General features: G+C 35.6%; 1 protein-coding gene across 4 annotated transcripts in view; it reads left to right on the top strand.

The window, feature by feature from the left end:
- The window catches only part of LRRTM4 (leucine rich repeat transmembrane neuronal 4), a 774,692-nt gene that overhangs the window by 349,080 nt on the left and 402,844 nt on the right, over positions 1–22,768 (top strand). The window lies entirely within an intron of this gene.

The following is a 22,768-nucleotide window of genomic DNA, read 5'->3' as shown; positions in this document are numbered from 1 at the left end:
GAGATGGTATTTTACTGATTTTTCATTCACTCAACAATATTAATTTGTAATCATTATGATCTGACCAAAGAAAATGAAATCATGGCCGAATTCAATTTCAGATTCTGTAAGGTCAATTAGGATTCTGCCACCTAATCCCTGGGTTTATTTACATTTATTTTTATGATAAACTTTTCACTCATATTAATCAAGATCGTATCTTCCTTTTGCTGTATCATCCTTTATTAAACAACTTGTCCATCATGCCCATCATTGGCAGCTGATTATTGCATCCCTTGCTTTACTGAGACATTGAGAATATCTACAGGGGAATCCCATGTTTGTTGTCCTTTTTATCTGAACATACTTATCTTTTAATTTTATCTTCTCAGCCTTTGTTGAGAAGCATAAAAATGTAGCATGACATGGAAATAAACCTTCTTTATGTTAAGCCACGGATATTTGGGGGTTTTTACTAAGCTGTAACCCCACTTATTCTCAGTGATACATCACAGGGGGATTATGACTAAGGTAGATTAGAAATAATATCACACAGATATTTGTCACGCAGAGATCATTTCTGAGAATTTCCGTCTATGCGTTTTTTTGGGAGAGAGTAAGCATATTTTCATTGTGTGATGATAATTAGGTAAAAGAATGCTATTGTTTGTATGTTGTAGTTTAGCACTTTATTTATTTATTTTTATTTTTTTTTTTATGTTTTTGAGACGAAGTCTCACTCTGTCACCCTGGCTGGAGTGCAGTGGCACGACTTGGCTCACTGCAACCTCCACCTCACAAATTCAAGCAATTTTCCTGCCTCAGCCTCCGGAGTAGCTGAGATTACAGGCATGACCCACCACGTCTGGCTAGTTTTGTATTTTTACTAGAGACGGGGTTTCACCATATTGGCCAGGCTAGTCTCGAACTCCTGATCTCGTGATCTACCCACCTCGGCCTCCCAAAGTGCTGGGATTACAGGCGTGAGCCACCACGCCTGGCCAGTTTAGCCCTTTAAATGAATATAGTAGCATATATATGGATTCTGAGTAAACAAAGGGGTACATTGTGGTGAATATGTATTCCCAACATTTCATCAATAGTACTCTATTCTGCAACCTCTTCTGGAATTCTTGAACTACATTTTTCAGAATCTCTTATATTTATGGCTTATTTTAGATTTTTATCAGTGAAGAATATTTCTTAAAATTTGAAAGTATAAGAGAAGGAAATTGTAAGGAAGTTGCAGGCAGATATCTAGGATAACATCAAATTTTGAAAATTGATAGCTGAGGTTGATCGCAGCGACACTATGTGAGATTTCAAATTTCATTTGGCTACTATGTGAGTACATATGATTCATTCATGTATAACTGTGACTCCTCTGAATTGTACAACCCTTACAAAGTTTGTGCAAACCTGTGATTTGCTGTATGAAAATCTTCCCCTTTGGAATATCTAGAGTGGCCTTTGTTTTGCTGACATAATTCTAATTATATAAAGAGCAATGCCTTTCATGACTTTTTCTTTTATAAAAATATTTATAAGCCATTTAAAAAATACAGTTGCCTTGAAATACTAACTTAGACAATTATCTTCATTTAAAGGTAATAAATATTAACTTTTTTTGGTTTGTATATATTTTAATTTAAAATATAAATAAAAATATTTCTGATCATATAAATATATGACCTATATCTTATATTTATATGCATACTTAAGCTCTTAAAAACATAAACCAGGCCAGTCGCCGTGACTCACACCTGTAATCCCAGCTCTTTGGGAGGCCGAGGCGGGTGGATCACTTGAGGTCAGGAGTTCGAGACCAGCCAGGCCAACATGGTGAAACCCCATCTCTACTAAAAATACAAAGATAAGCCTGGTGTGGTGGCGGCCTCTTGTAATCCCAGCTACTTGGGAGGTTGAGGCAGGAGAATTGCTTGATCCCAGGAGGTGGAGGTTGCAGTGAGCTGAGATTGCACCACTTCACTCCTGCCTGGGCGTCAGAGGTAGACTCCATCTCAAAAAACAAACAAGCAAGCAAGCAAACAAACAACAACAGAAAAAAAACATAAAGCAAATTGTCAGATTGTCATGATTCTAGAGAAGTAAACTAGCATGCTAAATCTCGTTGCTTTCCAAGGGAAACCAAGCATTGATTTGCACAAAAATTATCTCCCAAACTTATTTCCTCATTAAGCTGGTACCGTCAAAAGATAGCAACATTAGTAAGTAAGGTTTACATATATATGTATGTGTGTGTGTACTAAAGCATACACATATATGTATATATTAGCTATGCATATAATATATATACATATATAAAGCTAATATATATGTGTACTTTAGTATACGTACATATAATACATATAATACATAAATATAGCTTTATGTATGTACATAACATACCTACACATATAATATATGGGTATGTGAAGTTTTACACACAAATTAAATAAAGTATATATATATATATAAGGTTTTATACAAACATACATACATACCCTTTTTTTGAGTGACATAGAAAAAACTAAGAAAGAAATTCCTATGATCATTTATAAATATAGTGATAAAACATTTGGTTTAGGAACTGATTCACATTACCTGCTTGGCTCCAAAACCATGTGCAAAAACAGAAGTTTAAAGATGCTTTTCTGCCAAATATCTGCCAGAAATAACTTTAAACTCTCTTTGGAAAAATGACCATGTATTAGTTTTCCGTGACTCCAAAAACAAGTTACTACAAACATAATGTCTTAAAACAATACAACACATATTTATTATCTAAGATCTCCATTGGTGAGAAGTCTCACCCAGGTTTCTCTAGACTACAATCAAGGTGTCACCAGCATTGTGTTACTTTCTGGGGACTCTATGGGAAAATCTATTTCGTGATCATTGGTGTTACTGGCAGAATCTAGTTCCTTATGGTTGTAGGATTTAGATCTGCATTTTCTTGCTGATTTTTACATAAAGTTTATTTCCAGCTTCTAGAGGTTGCTGCATTCCTCAGCTCATATCCGCTTTCTTCCATCTTCAAAGCTAGAAAGGTTAGGTTGAGTTTTTCTCACATACATCTCTTTAATCTACTCTTCTGCCTTCCTCTTCCCACTCTTAAGGACTCACATGATTAGACTGGACCCACCTATATAATATAGGATCATATCTCGTCTCTAACACCCTAACCCTAATCACAACTGTGAAGTCCCTTTTATCACATAAGGTAGCATATTTGCAGGTTCCAAAGATTAGGACCCCAACATCTTAGAGGACTATCATTTGGTTGAACACATGCCCCATTGCCATATAAAACTCAATGAATTCACACAGATAATTTTCTAGAAGTTCAAAGTTGCAAACAGACATAACAAATACGTAACCATGAGTGATAGCAGCAACAACGCACAACAAACTTAGACCTAAAAAAACTTTACACAAATTGAAGAAGAGGATTAAAATGCTGAAAGAAACATAAAAAGTATGGGAAATGTCTTAGTCTACTTTGTGTTACTATAACAGATTACCACAGACTGGGTAATTTTTAATGAACAGAGACTTATGTGGCTTACAGTTTTGGAGGATGGACGTCCAGGGACATGGCACTGGCACCTGGCAAGGGTTTACATGCTGATGTATTATTTTATGGCATAAGGAAAAAGGGCAGGCAAGTATTCAAGAGAGAAAGAGAATGGGGGTCAAATTTCATTGTTTTATCAAGAACCCACTTCCACAATAATTAACCCAGTCTCAGGAGAGGAGCATTAACCCATCCGTGAAAGCAGAATCCTCATGGCCTAATCACTTCTTAACAGACCCAACTCTTCATACCATCACAATGTCAATGAAATTTCAACATAAATTTTGGAGGGGACATTCAAACCATAGCAGGAAGTACATCTAAGGAGAAAAAGACTGTGAAAATAATCCACCAAAAATTTTAAATGAACAAAATGGAATTTCTAAAAAAATTCAAAAATAGAAATGTTCAGTCATTAAGATTTTCTATATATATAATTATGTTCACAAAAACTGACAATTTGACTTCCTCTTTTCTAATTTGGATGCCTTTCATTTATTTCCCTTGCCTGATTGCTCCGGCTAGGACTGCCAGTACTATATTAAATAAGAATGGTGAAAGTAGGCATCCTTGTTTTTTCCAGTTCTTATAGGAAAGGCGTTCAGCTTTTCCCCATTTAATATTTTAGCTGCGGATTTGTCATATATGATCTTGACTATGCTGAAGTATATTTCTTCTATGCCTACTTTTTCAGAGTTTTTTATCATAAAAGGATATTGAATTATATCAAATGCTTTTCTGGATATGTTAAAATGATTATATGGTTTTTGTCCTTCATTATGTTGATAGGATATATCATATATATTAACTTGCATATGTTAAACCATCCTTGCATCCCTGGGATAAATTTCACTTGATTATGGTGGAGTATTATCTTTTGCAGAAACATGGATAGAAGTGAAGTTCATTATGTTAAGTGAAGTAAGCCAAGCACAGAATGACAAATATCACATGTTCTCATTCATACGTGGGGACTGAAAAGTTTACCACATGGAGTTAGAGAGTAGAATGATGCTTTTCAAAAGGTGGGAAGGATGAATGGGGGTGAAGAGAGGTTGGTTAATGAGTACAAACATACAGTTGGAAGTAATAAGTTCTTATGTTTGATAGAAAAGTAGAATGACTATAATTAACAATCATTTCTCATATATTTCAAAATATCTAAAAGATTTGAAATATATTTCCTAACACAAAGAAAGGAAAACATTTTTGAGGTGATTGACATCCTAAACATCCTGATTCAATCATTACACATTGTACATATATATCAAAATATCACCTACACCCCATAAATATGTATAATTATTATGTATAAATAAGAAAGCAGCTAACAAAAAACTAGAAATGTAAAAGAGATAATAAGTAGCAGAGGATTTGTAGAAAAGGAGAGACACAGCACACAGGAAAATATAGCTAAAAAATTACCCAATATACAGGTAAAAATATTTTCTAAAATATGTTAGAAAAATAAAGATACATAGAGAATGGAAGGAAAAATATGACATTTGTATACTTTGAGTTCTAGAAAAAAGAGAAGGAATAATACATGAAATCTTTTTATAAATTACAGAACATATGAATGCTCAAGTTGAGAGAGATCACCGGATTCCATTTAGAATTAAACCACATGCACACATAAATACACATATGCACACAAACACCCAAAGTAAGGGTATTGCAAAAACTAATAAATATAAATTTATCTTAAATTCAGTCGGAGCGGAAAAAACAGATTCCCTATAATAAAACAATAATTTTACTGGTAGAAGAACTCTTTTTTCTTTATTATCATTATACTTTAAGTTCTAGGGTACATGTGCACAACGTACAGGTATATTACATATGTATACATGTGCTATGTTGGTCTGGTGCACCCATTAACTTGTCATTTACATTAGGTATATCTCCTAACGCTATCCCTCCCACCTTCCCCCATCCCATGACAGGCCCAGTGTGTGATGTTCCCCATCCTGTGTCCAAATGTTCTCATTGTTTAATTCCCACCTATGAGTGAGAACATGCAGTGTTTGGTTTTCTGTCCTTGTGATAGTTTGCTCAGAATGACGGTTTCCAGCTTCATCCATGTCCCTACAAAGGGCATGAACTCATCATTTTTTATGGCTGCATAGTATTCCGTGGTGTATATATGCCACATTTTCTTAATCCAGTCTATCATTGATGGACATTTGGGTTGGTTCCAAGTCTTTGCTATTGTGAACAGTGCCTCAATAAACATACGTATGCATGTGTCTTTATAGCAGCATGATTTATAATCCTTTGGGTATATACCCAGTAATGGGATGGCTGGGTCAAATGGCATTTATAGTTCTAGATCCTTGACGAATCTCCACACTGTCTTCCACAATGGTTGAACTAGTTTACAGTCCTACCAACAGTGTAATAGTGTTCCCATTTCTCCATATCGTCTCCAGCACCTGTTGTTTCCTGACTTTTTAATGATCACCATTCTAACTGATGTGAAATGGTATCTCATTGTGGTTTTGATTTGCATTTGTCTGATGGCCGGTGATGATGAGCATTTTTTCATGAGTCTGTTAGCTGCATAAATGTCTTTTTTGAGAAGTGTCTCTTCATATCCTTTGCCCACTTGTTGATGGGGTTGTTTTTTTCTTGTAAATTTGTTTAAGTTTTTTGTAGGTTCTGGGTATTAGCCCTTTGTCAGATGCGTAGATTGTAAAAATTTTCTCCCATTCTGTAGGTTGCCTCTTCACTCTGATGGTAGTTTCCTTTGCTGTGTAGAAGCTCTTTAGTTTAATTAGATCCCATTTGTCAATTTTGGCTTTCGTTGCCATTGCTTTTGGTGTTTTAGTCATGAAGTCCTTGCCCATGCCTATGTCCTGAATGGTATTGCCTAGGTTTTCTTCTAGGGTTTTTATGGTTTTAGGTGTAACATTTAAGTCTTTAATCCATCTTGAATTAATTTTTGTATAAGGTGTAAGGAAGGGATCCAGTTTCAGCTTTCTACATATGGCTAGCCAGTTTTCCCAGTACCATTTATTAAATAGGGAATCATTTCCCCATTGCTTGTTTTTGTCAGGTTTGTCAAAGATCAGATGGTTGTAGGTGTGTGATATTATTTCTGAGGGCTCTATTCTGTTCCATTGGTCTATATCTCTGTTTTGGTACCAGTGCCATGCTGTTTTGGTTACTGTAGCCTTGTAATATAGTTTGAAGTCAGGTAGCATAATGCCTCCAGCTTTGTTCTTGTGGCTTAGTATTGTCTTGGCAATGCGGGCTCTTTTTTGCTTCCATATGAACTTTAAAGTAGTTTTTTCCAACTCTGTGAAGAAAGTCATTGGTAGCTTGATGGGGATGACATTGAATCTATAATTATCTTGGACAGTGTGGACATTTGCACAATAATTCATTCTTCCTATCCATGAGCATGGAATGTTCTTCCATTTGTTTGTGTCCTCTTATTTCATTGAGCAGTGGTTTTCAATTCTCCTTGAAGAGGTCCTTCACATCCCTTGCAAGTTGCATTCCCAGGTATTTTATTCTCTTTGAAGCATTGTGAATGGGAGTTCACTCATGATTTGGCTCTCTGTTTGTCTGTCATTGGTGTATAGGAATGCTTGTGATTTTTGCACATTAATTTTATATCCTGAGACTTTGCTGAAGTTGCTTATCAGCTTAAGATTTTGGGCTAAGACGATGGAGTTTTCTACATATACAATCATGTCATCTGCAAACAGGGACAATTTGACTTCCTCTTTTCCTAATTGAATTCCCTCTATTTCTTTCTCCTGCCTGATTGACTTGGCCAGAACTTCCAACATTATGTTGACTAGGAGTGGTGAGAGAGGGCATCCCTGTCTTGGGCCAGTTTTCAAAGGGAATGCTTCCAGTTTTTGCCCATTCAGTATGATATTGGCTGTGGGTTTGTCATAAATAGCTCTTATTATTTTGAGATAACGTCCCATCAATACCTAATTTATTGAGAGGTTTTAGCACGAAGGGCTGTTGAATTTTGTTGAAGGCCTTTTCTGCATCTATTGAGATAATCATGTGGTTTTTGTCTTTGGTTCTGTTTATACACTGTATTACGTTTATTGATTTGCATATGTTCAACCAGCCTTGCATCCCAGGGATGAAGCCCACTTGATCATGGTGGATAAGCTTTTCGATGTGCTGCTGGATTCAGTTTGCCAGTATTTTACTGAGGATTTTTGCATCAATGTTCATTAGGGATATTGGTCTAAAATTCTCTTTTTATTGTGTCTCTGCCAGGCTTTTGTATCAGGATGAATCTGCCTCATAAAATGAGTTAGGAAGGATTCCCTCTTTTTCTACTGATTGGAATAGTTTCAGAAGGAGTGGCACCAGCTCCTCTTTGTACCTCTGGTAGAATTTGGCTGTGAATCTGTCGGTCCTGGACTTTTTTTGGTTGGTAAGCTATTAATTATTGCCTCAATTTCAGAGCCGGTTATTGGTCTATTCGGGGATTCAACTTCATCCTGGTTTAGTCTTGGGAGGGTGTGTGTGTCCAGGAATTTATCCACTTTTTCTAGATTTTCTGGTTTATTTGCATAGAGATGTTTATAGTATTCTCTGATAGTATTTCTTATTTCTGTGTGATCAGTGGTGATATCCCCTTTATCATTTTTTATTGCATCTATTTGATTCTTCTCTATTTTCTTCTTTATTAGTCTTGCTAGCAGTCTACCAATTTTGTTGATCTTTTCAAAAAAAGAGCTCCTTGATTCACTGATTTTTGAAGGGTTTTTTGTGTCTCTGTCTCCTTCAGTTCTGCTCTAATCTTAGTTATTTCTTGCCTTCTGCTAGCTTTTGAATGTGTTTGCTCTTGCTTCTCTAGTTCTTTTAATTGTGATGTTAGGGTGTCAATTTTAGATCTTTTCTGCTTTCTCTTGTGGGCATTTGGTGCTATAAATTTCCCTCTACACACTGCTTTAAATGTGTCCCAGAGATTTTGGCATGTTGTGTCTTTGTTCTCACTGGTTTCAAAGAACATCTTTATTTCTGCCCGCATTTTGTTATTTAACCAGTAGTCATTCAGGAGCAGGTTGTTCAGTTTCTATGCAGTTGAGCGGTTTTGAGTGGGTTTCTTAATCCTGAGTTCTAGTTTGATTGCACTGTGGTCTGAGAGACAGTTTGTTATAATTTCTGTTCTTTTTCATTTGCTGAGGAGTGCTTTCTTTACTTCCAACTATGTGGGCAATTTTGGAATAAGTGTGGTGTGGTGCTGAGAAGAATGTATATTCTGTTGATTTGGGGTGGAGAGTTCTGTAGATGTCTATTAGGTCTGCTTGGTGCAGAGCTGAATTCAATTCCTGGGTATCCTTGTTAACTTTCTGTCTGTTGATCTGTCTAATGTTGACAGTAGGGTGTTAAAGTCTCTCATTATTATTGTATGGGAGTCTAAGTCCTTTGTAGGTGTCTAAGGACTTGCTTTATGAATCTGGGTGCTCCTGTATTGGGTACATATTTGTTTAGGATAGTTAGCTCTTCTTGTTGAATTGATCCCTTTACCATTATGTAATGACCTGCTTTGTCTCTTTTGATCTTTGTTGGTTTAAAGTCTGTTTTATCAGAGACTAGGATTGCAACCCCTGCTTTTGTTTTGTTTTCCATTTGCTTGGTAGATTTTCCTCCATCCCTTTATTTTGAGCCTATGTGTGTCTCTGCATGTGAGATGGGTCTCCTGAATACAGCACACTGATGGGTGTTGACTGCTTATCCAATTTGCCAGTCTGTGTCTTTTGATTGGAGCCTTTAGCCCATTTACATTTAAGGTTAATATTATTATGTGTGAATTTGATCCTATCATTATGATGTTAGCTGGTTATTTTGCTCATTAATTGATGCAGTTTCTTCCTAGCATTGAAGGTCTTTACAATTTGGCATGTTTTTGCAGTGGCTGGTACTGATTGTTCCTTTCCATGTTTAGTGCTTTCTTCAGGAGCTCTTGTAAGGCAAGCCTGGTGGTGACAAAATCTCTCAGCATTTGCTCTTCTGTAAAGGGTTTTATTTATCCTTCACTTATGAAGCTTAGTTTGGCTCGATATGAAATTCTGGGTTGAAAATTCTTTTCTTTAAGAATGTTGAATATTGGCCCCCACTCTCTTCTGTAACAGATCCGCTGTTAGTCTGATGGGCTTCCTTTTATGGGTAACCCAAACTTTTTCTCTGGCTGCCCTTAACATTTTTTCCTTCACGTCATCTTTGGTAAATCTGACAATTACGTGTCTTGGAGTTGCTCTTCTCGAGGAGTATCTTTGTGGAGTTCTCTATATTTCCTGAATTTGAATGTTGGCCTGCCTTGTTAGGTTGGGAAGTTATCCTGGATAATATCCTGCAGAGTGTTTTCCAACTTGGTTCCATTATCCCCATCACTTTCAGGTACACCAATCAGACGTAGATTTGTTCTTTCCACATAGTCCCATATTTCTTGGAGGGTTTGTTCATTTTTCTTACTCTTTTTTCTCTAAACTTCTCTTCTCACCTCATTTCATTCATTCCATCTTCAGTCACTGATTCCTTTTCTTCCACTTGATCGAATAGGCTACCGAAGCTTGTGCATGTGTCACATAGTTCTCGTGCCATGGTTTTCAGCTCCATCAGGTTATTTAAGGTCTTCTCTATGCTGTTTATTCTCGTTAGCCATTTGTCTAATCTTTTTTCAAGGGTTTTAACTTCTTTGTGATGGGTTCCAAGATCCTCCTTTAGCTCACAGAAGTTTGTTATTACCTATTGTCTAAAGACTTCTTCTCTCAACTCATCAAAGTCATTCTCCTTCCAGCTTTGTTCTGTTGCTGGTGAGGAGCTGCATTCCTTTGGAGGAGAAGAGGTGCTCTGATTTTTAAAATTTTCAGCTTTTCTGCTCTGGTTTCTCCCATCTTTGTGGTTTAATCTACCTTTAGTCTTTGATGATGGTGACATACAGATGGGGTTTTGGTGTGGATGTCCTTTCTGTTTGTTAGTTTTCCTTCTAACAGTCAGGACCCTCACCTGCAGGTCTGTTGGAGTTTGCTGGAGGTCCACTCCAGACCCTGTTTGCCTGGGTATCACCAGTGGAGGCTGCCAAACAGAAAATATTGTGGAATGGCAAATGTTGCTGCCTGATCCTTCATCTGGAAGCTTCATCTCAGAGGGACACCAGGCCATATGAGGGGTCAGTCGGTCCCTACTGGGAGGTGCCTCCCAGTTAGGCTACTCGAGGGTCAGGGACCCACTTGAGGAGGCAGTCTGTCCATCTCAGATCTCAAACTCTGTGCTGGGAGAACCATTACTCTCTTCAAAGCTGTCAGACAGGGACGTTTAAATCTGAAGAAGTTTCTGCTGCCTTTTGTTCAGCTATGCCCTGCCCCCAGAGGTGGAGTCTACAGAAGTAGGGCAGGCCTCCTTGGGCTGTGTTGGGCTCCACCCAATTCGAGATTCCTGGCCACTTTGTTTACCTACTGAAGCCTCAGCAATGGCAGACGCCCCACCCCCAGCCTTGCTGCCACCTTGCAGTTTAATCTCAGACTGCTGTACTAGCAGTGAGCGAGGCTCCGTGGGTGTGGGATCCTCTGAGCCAGGCATGGGATATAATCTCCTGGGGTGCCATTTGCTAAGACCATTGGAAAAGCACAGTATTAGGGTGGTAGTGTCCTGATTTTCCAGGTACCGCCTGTCATGGCTTCCCTTGTCTAGGAAAGGGAATTCCCGCTCTGTGGGCTACACCCACTGTCTGACAAGCCTCAGTGAGATGAACCCGGTACCTCAATTGCAAATGCAGAAATCACTCGTCTTCTGTGTTGCTCACGCTGGGAGCTGTAGACTGGAGCTATTCCTATTCAGCCATCTTGGAGCCTCCATGAAGAACTCTTAATTGGTCAACTAATTGCACTAGACAATTAATTAACCTCAAAATACTAGAGTTTTAATCATTTGCATTGGAACTCAGTGAAATAATATTTTACTAAAGAAGAAAATAAATAAGACATTTTCACAGAAAAAAAAATTAAGAGTTTACCTACAGACCCTCTCTAAAATACTGCAAAAAATTTCACAGTTGACCACTGAACAACATGGGTTTGAACTGCACGTATCCACTTATATGTGGATGTTTTTCCAATATATTGGAAATTTTTTTTTGGAGATTGGCAACAATTTGAAAAAACTCACAGACAAAATGCCTAGAACATTTATTATTAAGGAAGAAAAGCTGTTACCACCTGACCAGGTTTTTGCCTGCTGCCAAGATAGAGCCAAACACTGAGACAACAAGTATCACTATAAAGAAGAGTTTAATTATCACAAGGCAACCGAACCAGGAGGATGGGAGATACTGCTCAAAGCCACCTCGCTGAGGCATCAGAAGCTGGGTTTTAAAAGAATGATTTGACTGGCAGAGGCATAGGGAATGGATGCTGTGTTAGGGCTGAATCAGTTCCTGAGAAAGGAGGTGAGTCACAATACCAGTCAAGTCAGTTCCGTTGGATCACTGGTTGGGTTGGCGTCAGTCCACTCACAGACCAAGGTAGAAAACTATCTCAAAGACCAGTCTTAGGTTTCACAATAGCATTTGTGACTGCTGGTTACTATGGCAAGCAAGATGGGAAAAAATGCTGGGTTATCGTTTAACTATGCCTATAGCTTAGCAGAAAAGTCTGTGGAAGGTGAGGTCCCTGCTTGTCATAGCTGCCTGGCGCCCTGTTGGTCATCTAACTTCTGGAAGTCATCGAGGGGGTCTGCATGATCTAAGGATCATTTTTCTTTAAAAGTAAAAACAAATTCCTTAATCTTTCATGTAGGCTGCCATGGAACTAGGACAGGAAGATAATCAGTTATTAGTGACTGTCATTTGTCACATATCATATAATGACTATGTGCAAGCAATCATGCATGGATAAGGAAAAAATCAGACAGAAAGGAAAATATCTTAGCAAAATTCAGGCACCTAACATAATTGTAATCGTGTGGCCTCCTTTAATTTTATGAGGGCAGTTTCAAAGCAAGCACCAGGATTTAAGGCAGGAAAGAGTAGGCCAACTCCACTGTTTTTTTGCAAGTGTAGACTGGTCTATGATCAAGACTACTCTTATTTTTAAGCCTTAAAGGAAATAAATAAAGCACAAGCTGTCAGTCTTCATTGTACAATAAAAAGCCTTGGACAATGAGACCCTTTTATCTGGATTGCATCCATCCATGCTTTGTCCCTGAAGTGAGGAAATCTCTTGTCAGTAAAGGACTGCCTTTTAAAGTTTTTTTTTTTAAATATTAAACAATGTCCTTTGGCTATATGGAATCTATAAGTTCAACACTAAAATACTGAAGTGATTTACATGCCCCCAAACACAGCATCTCTAATTTAGCCTCTAGATCAGAAGATCATAAGGACCTTTATGGCTCACTACTCACAAAATTGTATGGAAAGTGTTGTCAATGCTCTGGAAGAGAGCCCCAGCAGAGAGAACATCATGAAAGTCTGGAATGATTACAACATTGGAAATGCCATGATTGTTATATAAAAGTCTGTGAAAGCCATCAAGCCAGAAATGAAAACTTTCTGTTGGAGAAAACTGTGTCCAGATGTTGTGCAGAACTTCACAGGATTTTCAACACAGCCAATCAAGGAATTCATTGAAGAGACTGTGGACATGGCAAAAAAGGTGAGGGCTGAAAGGTTTGAAGATATGCATCTTGGAGAAATTCAAGAGTGAATAGACACCACACCAGAGTGATTAATGGAAGATGACTTGATGAAGATAAATGCTTCCAAACCAGTGTAAGACAGGGGAAGAAGACATAGAAGCAGTGCCAGAAAACAATTGACATTACACAATCTGAATTGTGTTAGATTGATTCTGTCACAATCAGATGGATTGATTCTGTCTTGCATGATATAAGCACTAAAACTAAAGCAAATGGTGGAAGAAGGATTGTTACCATACAGAAACATTTTTAGAGAAATTTTAAAAAGCAAAAAAGTCATACAGAAATCATGATGTACTTCCATAGAGTTCCCTAAGTGTGCCTGCTTCTCTTGCCTCCTCTTCCACCTTTTCTACCTCTTCCCCCTCTGCCCACCCTGAGACTGCAAGACCAAACCCTCCTATTTCTCCTCCTCCTCAGCCTACTCAATGTAAAAATGACAAGAATGAAGACCTTTGTGATGATCCCCTTTCATTTAATGAATAGTAAATATATATTCTCTTCCTTATGATTTCCTTTTTTTTTCTTTTTTTTTTTTTCCATTATACTTTAAGTCCTAGGGTACATGTGCACAACATGCAGGTTTGTTACATATGTATATGTGTGCCATGTTGGTGTGCTGCACCCATTAATTCGTCATTTACATTAGGTATATCTCCTAATGCTATCCCTCCTCCCTCTCCCCAACCAACGATTTTCTTAATAACACTTTCTTTTTTACAGCTTACTGTGTTGAAAAAATGCAGTATGTAATACATACACAAAATGTTCATCAACTGACTGTTTATCTCAGTAAGATTTCTGGTCAACAGGTGGCTATTAGTGGTTATGTTTTTGGGAAGTCAAAATTTATTCATGGATTTTTGAATACATTGGAGTTAGCACCGCTAAATCACCTGTTGGTGAAGTGTCAGCTGTTCTTCCAAATAAGATACTTTATTCCACAAGAAAATATCTGCAAAGATGAACGGTTCATGTAGAAAAATAATAAAATGTCATCAAATTTAGCAACTGTTAAAATCAAAACAGTGATATAAAGTCTGGTTTAGTGGTTAAAATATTAAGCTATGTTATGGGGAAATATAACAAGCATATGAATCAAGAATATTCACGGAGTGAAAGCGTTCTGAGATACCTATATTTTGCAGAAGACAGGTGATAATTGTTATATCGTATGTAATTAATTATAAAGTTAAATACCTATGTTAATGTTTATTATTGTACAATTATAAAATAGAAATATAATGTATAGTTCTGCACTTAATAGAAAAAAAAACGAAAAAAGCACTTAGATTACTAAAAGACAAGCAGGGAGAAAAAATTAGGACAAGTTTCAACTTTTGTACTTTCTAGTACAAAATAAGATAGAAAAGAATCCAAATGTATGTAAAACAACAAAATATAAATAGACAAACTGCTTGTCTTAATAGCAAAATTTATCAGACTATATGAAAAATATAGTCCAGCTACATTTGATTTGTAAGATAAATGTAAAACATAAGAAAACAGAATATTGCAAAAAAAAGGTAAAAAAATAGGCAGTGCCCATGAAATACATAACAAAACACAAGTGCTGTCACTGTTTGATACAAAACAGGATTTGAAATGTAACAGGCAACATTCCAAATATATTGATAAAGTGTTTATTTCCCCAAAAAGATAAAATAATTTCAAACAAATATGCATCTAAGAACATAGTTTTTAACCACATATGTAAAATTTGATACATCTGTGATGAGAAATTGAGAAATCCACACTCCTAGTGGGAAATACAAAATTAAATCTCTATATTTTTTGACATTTTTATTGTAAAATAAGACAAAAGGAAAGCACACAGAACAGACATACAACTTAGTGAATTATTATAAAGCAAACGCCCTTGCAACCACCACACAGTTCGAGAGAGAAGTTGGCCAGAAGCCTCTCTCCATACCTCCTCCCTCCCTCTCCATAAGTAATCACTATTCTGACATTTACAATAATATTTCCCCTGTGTTTCTTTATTGTTTTTTCACCAAGAACACATTCCTAGACACAATCATTTAGTCAGACCCATTTTTGTTAACTTGACGCCTTTTGAATGTTTTTTAATTCAGAAGTTCTCTCCCACCCATCCCTTTCTTTTTGTTGTAATTTATCTGTTGAAGAACTCACTCGAGCTGTTTGACCTGTAGTTTCACAGTCTGGAGTCTGCTGATGGCATGCTCATAATATAGCTCATGTTCCTCTGTCCCTGAGTTTCCTGCAAATAGCCCATTGCATCTAGAGTCCTGATCACACTCAGGTTCAATCGTTTCAGCAAGACCTCAAGTGGTGGGGTTTTCTTCCATAAGGATCACAAACATAAATATCTTAATAATGAAAAGAAGATGTAGATAAAAATTCCATAGGAAGATAGGAATTTTACATTATAGGTTTATTTCTAGTCAAGTGCAGAATGTTACTCCTTTCTCTGACCGCAAGTATATCAAGTTAAATATCAGTATCAAAAAAAACTATACTCATACGTTTAAGAAAAGTTTCTCTTTTATAAAATTATCAAATATTATAAGCAATAATGAAATAGAAATATTAATTTTAAAGTCAGAAACAAGAAAAACAAGTCCATAATCAAGATGTCTATACAACATCAAATTTATGTGTATTTATATTTTTAGTTTTAAAATGTTATCTTCTTGGCCTTTAATGTCCATATTCTACTGAGCTTATTCTAACTAATGCAATTCTTTGCCCAGTTTTTGACACCTTACTGATATGATGATTCCCCTCCTCATAATTACCTTCCTTCTTCACTTTCTCCCTTCCCCATTTATAAAAACTGTACTACAGTTTACATCTTGTTATGCAGCAGTGAACAAGCAAAACCTTTGCTTTTAGCCAACATTTGATCATTTCTCTTTTAATGCATTAATGTGATGACTCTGTGTTACTAGGATTTCTAATGTTAAGTAATGCCTCCTTGGATATATCTTTTAGTTTATGAATTAAACTAAATTAAAATGTTAAGGGTTTGTTTAATAACTTGTATATTTAATAACAATTGTTATTACTGTTTGATAACAAATATTAAAGGTTAGTTGAATAGTAACAAAGGTTATTATGAAATATTTCAAAAGTAAAAAATGTTAAAAAGCAAAAGGCCCACTAAACACCTTGAGAAAAAAAAAAATAAAAGCTTTAGTAAGAAGTTGAGCCAGGCCCTGTAGCTCACATCTATAGTCCCATCACTTTGGGAGGCGGAGGTGGCAGAATTGCGTGGGCTAGGGAGGCCAGCTTGCAGTGAGTCATCATTATGCCACTGCACTCTAGCCTGGGTGACAGGGTAAGACCTTGTCTCAAAAAAAAAAAAAAAAAAGTTGAAGGCTCATTGTATCTTTCTTTAAATCCCATTTTTCTACCTCACCCCGAATTTCATGTTCAAATGCATTTGTTGGCACTGATATTGCACATGTATTTCTAAATTATATATGGTGTTGTTTTGGATGTTTTTAGTCTTATGTTATTGGCATCATTCTGAATATATCATTTATTATTATTTCTTTAAACTTAATGTCCCTTTTACTACATAAAGCTCTGATTGATTCATTTTTCATTTTCATCCCAATTCCCATGCTTGAATATACTATAATTTATTGAATCATTTTCCTGTGGATGAATCTTAATTTCAAATACTTCATATTTCATTTTATTTCTAGAAATTCTGTTTTTCAAATATGACTTTTTTCTGTTTTTTTTTGTATTGTGTCTTTTACTTATGTTTGTTGTTTTACATATATTTCTTTAATTATTTTAAATTCTTATAGCTTTTATTCTGTTATTTCATAGTTGTGCTTCTATTTGCTAAATAGTAAATATACTCTCTCTTAGAGTTTTCATGGTGTTTATAAATTATAATTCTTTTTAACTGAGTGCTCCTGTTTAATGCAGCCTTCCCTGTTTTCACATAAATATACCTTTCAGAGTACTTTATTTACTAGTGAGGGAGTCTGGGTTTCTATATCTTTCTCTTTTAATTTTTTTAAAATAAATTAAATTGACACATTTAAATTGTACATATTTATGGGGTACAATCTGATGTTTCAGCACATACCTATGTTGAAAATTGATTCAGTCAGGTTAATTCATATATCTATTACCTCAGGCATTTATCATTTATCTGTGGTGAGAAACTTAAAAGGTTCCCTGTTAGCTGTTATGTGATAGATATTTTTTACTGTTAACCATAGTCACTCTACTCTGCAATACAATAGAACAACCAAATGTATTTCTGTTATTAAACTGTAACTTTGGACCATTTAACCAACCTCTTCCCATCCTCCCCCTCCCGTAACCTTCCAGAGTCACTGGTAACCAACATTCTCTGCTTGGTTTCAGGTTCCACTTTGGTGCTCTCTTTGATATCTTTCTTCATTCCTGTCTGCTAGGAAGGTCTTTCTCCCCCACACCCTGCTCCTGATTAGTTATGTATTATAAGTTATGTGTTAAAAGATATATATATATATAATATTATTCAAAGTTTCTATGTGTTTATAACAGAATTTGCAATCTTGATTTATCTCAACCTTTGTATTTTCTGAAAATGTTTAAAGTATTTTATCATTTGTTTGATTCTATCCCTGGTGATGTCTCATATGATATAAATGCAGACTGGATTAGGAAATACATGCTTTATATTTCGATCATTTCAGTGTAAGTAGGTATAATTAAAAATTCTATTTTTTTCTTTATAATCCAATGACTATCAGTATCTTACTTTACCTTTGGCTTATATATAATTTAGTAAGGAAAAAAATCCTTCATTTTTATAAAAATTTAACAATTATCTGTGAATATCATATAAAAAATAGAAAATAAAAATTAAATATTTATATGCAGGCTTTTTATTCTCTTTCACTGTATTTAAAATCAAAATGTACTTTGTGTATTACATTGCTGCCATGCAACTGTTTATTTTTTTAAACTTAGCAAGTAGTTAAGAATGACCTCTGATGTGAATTGACATAGCTTTGCATGATCACTATTAACAGATTCCTAGAGTGCCTATTATGTGGATTTATACTAAAATTGACAGTTAGTAGTGCAAGGGCCGGTACAAATCATATCTTCTTTAATTCTAATGACAGCATTCTGATAAAGATACCATTGTTAATTCCACTTTAAAGGGTCAGAAACAGAGTTAGAGTGCTTAAGCAATTTATACAAGAAAATAATACTAGAAAGCTTCAGAGTCATGAAATGAATCAGGCTCTTTGACTCATAAAGCCCATGCATGCCCTAACTGTACAGAGACCCATCAACATTCATGTAACTAATCTCCTATTCTTCATTTATGTTTTCATATTTCGTATTTTCCTTTGGCTATAATAAAGAATTTTATGCTAAATATTCTTAAGTATAAATGTAAATTACCTTTGTAAATGTACCTATCATCTCAGCGTAAATTCTGAGAATCTAGATTATTAGATTAAAAGATTTTTTATTGCTTTTTATTCATTTTGGAAAATTACTATCTATAAATACTTTACTAATATGTATACTTGTTTCAGCAGTTTTAGAAAGTGCCCATTTTCCTATGTCCATGCCTATACTAGTTATAATTAGCCTTTTTCTTCTTTGCTAATTGTCAGTGGAAATGCTAAAATCTATAAATCATTAAACACATAGTGATTTGCATTATTTGATTCCTTGTGAGGTGGACCATGTCTTCTATTACTCAGCTGCATTTTATAAAATTCTTCTCTTTATTGAGTACTCAAATGCACAGAAATTTGGCAGGGAAAGAAAAAAACTCTGAATAGTTTGCCTCTAAGGTGGACTACAGAGCATATTTAGCCAAAGTCTATAATTGTTAGACATGGAAACTAGAAAGAGAAGAAGCTAAATGGATTCACCAATGTCACAACTTCTATTGGAGCACCAGGAAATAAATTCAAGCATCCGCAAAGCCAATTAAGAACACTTTGCACTGTCCCACAAATTCTCTTCATTTGGTATTGATGGACATTGATTAGACTTCTAGTAATTGAGATGTTTGTAATTCAAAAATACTAAGAGCAGTACTCAGTTATCCTAAACACCTGTGAAATAATTCTGAACATTCTAAAATATTTCTTATATCTTACAACATATTTGATGTGATAAAATAAATTAGATGTCAACTATGGACCAGTATAAGCTTTTAATAATTAAAAGTTTCTTTTTCACTAGGGACAAAAGTTACACTCTTTAAATCAAGAGGATAAGTATTTTTCCTGACAAGGCTTCACAGTGCTTGATTGAGATTTTCAGATGTATATATATGAGTTGACAGTTTGCATTTGCTATGTTTTCCCCTAGGTAAAAATCTAAAAGCATTCATAACTTTTAGTGTTAATGAGAGCAGAACCTATTAGCCCTAAAAATGCCCTTTTTGCTCTAAGGAATATTTTACCTGAAAAGTGATATAAAAACATATCTCATCATGAAATAAAAACTCAGCTTTTCAAATAAGGCATGTGGCCCTTTAAGTTGAGGCATAATAAAAGAAAGCAATTCTACATTTCTTTTCATGGTAATAACTGTATTTATCTTGGTTTTTATAAGAGGGAGAAAATGACTCACTTTATTTTTTGCATTAAATTTGCATGTGTTAGTATTTCTTAGATTTTTAAACTTGGGAGCTTTGCAAAATACTCAGAGAGCTAACTTCACTGAAGATTGTGTATCTAGGAAGAAAGGCAGCTTTGCCTTTGAGTATGTGACAAAGTATTACAGAAAACGTGGGCAGGAAAGCATTCTCCTCACATCTACAGACAACACAGTTGCAGCACACAGATGACTATTAAGTACATAGCACTAATCTGACACACCTCAGTACCTCGTTAGGAGGCTCAGTATTGGTTTTAATAGGGAAGAGGTCCTATGTGAGCATTAAAGGTGCTAATTAGTCACCTTGGTGCAGAATGGACAGCAGAGGAAATCTTACAATAAATATCTGTAAGTAGGGTGGAGATGAAGGATATAAGATCTCAGAAGGAATATGCTTTTTTTTCTTTTTAGAGTTCTATTGCACAGCATGGTGAATATAGTTAATTATAGAATATTACATTTCAAAATTAGTAAGTGAGTTAATTTCAAATGTTCTCACTGCAAAAAATCTTAAGAATTTGAAGTGATGGATATGTTAACTAGCTTGATTTAAATATTCCACATTGTACTTAAAATTATAACATCTCTTTGTACCTCATACATTTATATAACTGTAAATTGTCAATTTACAATAAAAAGGGTGGGGGTTAAATAGAAGAAAAATGATGAATACTTAGCACCTATTGTGTTGTTACTCAATTATTATACATGCTTCTCAGGTATTCGCTCATTTAGTTCACACAGAAAACCCTTGAAGTATAATTACTATCTCTATTTAGTGAATGAAGAAACTAAGATACAAAAAAGTGGCCGGGCGTGGTAGCTCACACCTGTAATCCCAGCACTTTGGGAGGCCGAGGCAGGCAGATCATGAGGTCAGGAGATCAAGACCATTGTGGCTAACACGGTGAAACCCCGTCTGTACTAAAAACACAAAAAATTAGCCCGGCGTGGTGGCACACACCTGTAGTCCCAGCTACTTGGGAGGCTGAGGCAGGAGAATCGCTTGAACCCAGGAGGCAGAGGTTGCAGTGAGCCGAGATTGTGCCATGACACTACAGCCTGGGCAACACAGCGAGACTCCATCTGAAAAAAAAAGATACAAAAAAGTGAAGATATGTGTTCAAACTCCCACATCAAGTGGGTAGTGCACCTTGAAAATGTAGCTCCAACACAAGTACTCTTAATGTCATTCTCTCTGCCCTCTCTTGGGGTCAAATGGCAGGCCCCACACAATGTCCATGAGACAGTAGTTCACATCCTTTGCAGGCCCCAATCACACAACTTTTGTGAATTCCTTTCATAATTACCAGAAGGCGTTAGGTGGTGAAGGTGGCATAAAGCCAGTCATCAATTTAAAAAATTAATCAGAGAAACCTGAGCTACATCTAACTTTTAATATTCTTCTTTGCAGTTTTTTGTGCTGGTTAAATTTTTCATCCTTCTTGCCTACATGTGTATTTCCTTGAGATACTCAATTTGGTAAAATTCCTTTAAAAGCAAGGACATTATGCTGTAAATTTCTTCATGTTTAGAAACATTAAGGTGGATACATACTAAAGGACATGAAAATAAGAAAGTAGTGAGAAATATTTTTTTAAAAAAATGTTTGATCTGCATTATAGTCAACAACAACAACAACAACAACAAACAAGATCTTTCTGTTCCCTAAACTTACACACAATGCCTAGGTCTATTCCAATCTTCTTTTCCCTAAAGGATGTTTTAAAAAGAACATGAAATGCAATCTTTGTTTTTCTGTGACTGACTGACTTGATTTAGTTTAATGTTCTCTGTGTTCATCCATGCTGTCGCAAACAGCAGGATTTTCCTCTTTAAGGCTGAATAATATTCCACTGTATGTTTATACCACATTTTCTTTATCCATTCAACTGTTGATGAACACTTGGGTTGTTCCACATTTTGGCTATTATGAATAATGCTACAATGAACCTCTTTGAGAACCTGATTCCAGTATTTTTGGAAATATAACCAAAAGTGGATTTGTTAGATAATATTGCATTATTCCAATTATATGAGGCATCTATCATGGTCAAACTTATAGAATTAGTAAATACAATAGGGGTTGCCAGGGGATTGAGATTGTGGGGGAATGGGGAGTTATTGTTCAATGAGTATAAAGTTTCAACAATGCCAGATGAATAAATTCGAGGAGTCTACTGTACAACATAGTACTTACCATTAACAATATGGTATTGTGTACTCCAGAATTTAATAGGGTAGATCTCATGTTAAGTATTCTTACTACACATACACACATATACACATACATACACACACACACACACACACACACATACACGGACGTAGTCTAGTCTATTACCTTGATTGTGGTGATGATTTCACAGGTATTTGCACATGTCCAAACTTACCAAATCATACACAGTAAATATGCGAACAGTTTTTCGTATACCAATTATTTCTCAGTAAAACTTAAAAAACAGTGCATGAATGTGTTCAACCTGTTGAATAAATGGAAGGTGAGAAGAGAAGAAAACTAATTTTAAATTAATGATGGAGAAATACACCAACAAATAAAGACTATGGCAAGGGAAGAAAATATAGCAGCTGAGAATTGATAATGGTAGGGATAGTATGACAGTAATTGGGCATTAGCAATATTATTTTAATTTATTTTTAATAATATAAACAATGGTACACAATGTGCAAAGGAAAATAATATCCAACCACCTCTGCTCCTGAGCCACCCAGGCTGTTCTTTTAACAGACAACCATTGTGCTTAGTTTTTTGCATATTCTTCCTCAATTATTTACGGAGAATATTATATATGTGTGAATATATATCATATATGTCTTATAGATTGGTTTAGTAAATGCAAAATGTAGTATCAACTGATAATAGGCATAGTTCACTAAAAATGAGAT

The sequence above is a fragment of the Homo sapiens genome, chromosome 2 (assembly GCF_000001405.40).
Source record: "Homo sapiens chromosome 2, GRCh38.p14 Primary Assembly".
In the NCBI taxonomy this organism is placed as follows: Eukaryota; Metazoa; Chordata; class Mammalia; order Primates; family Hominidae; genus Homo; species Homo sapiens.
This window is presented reverse-complemented; position numbering and strand designations above follow the sequence as displayed.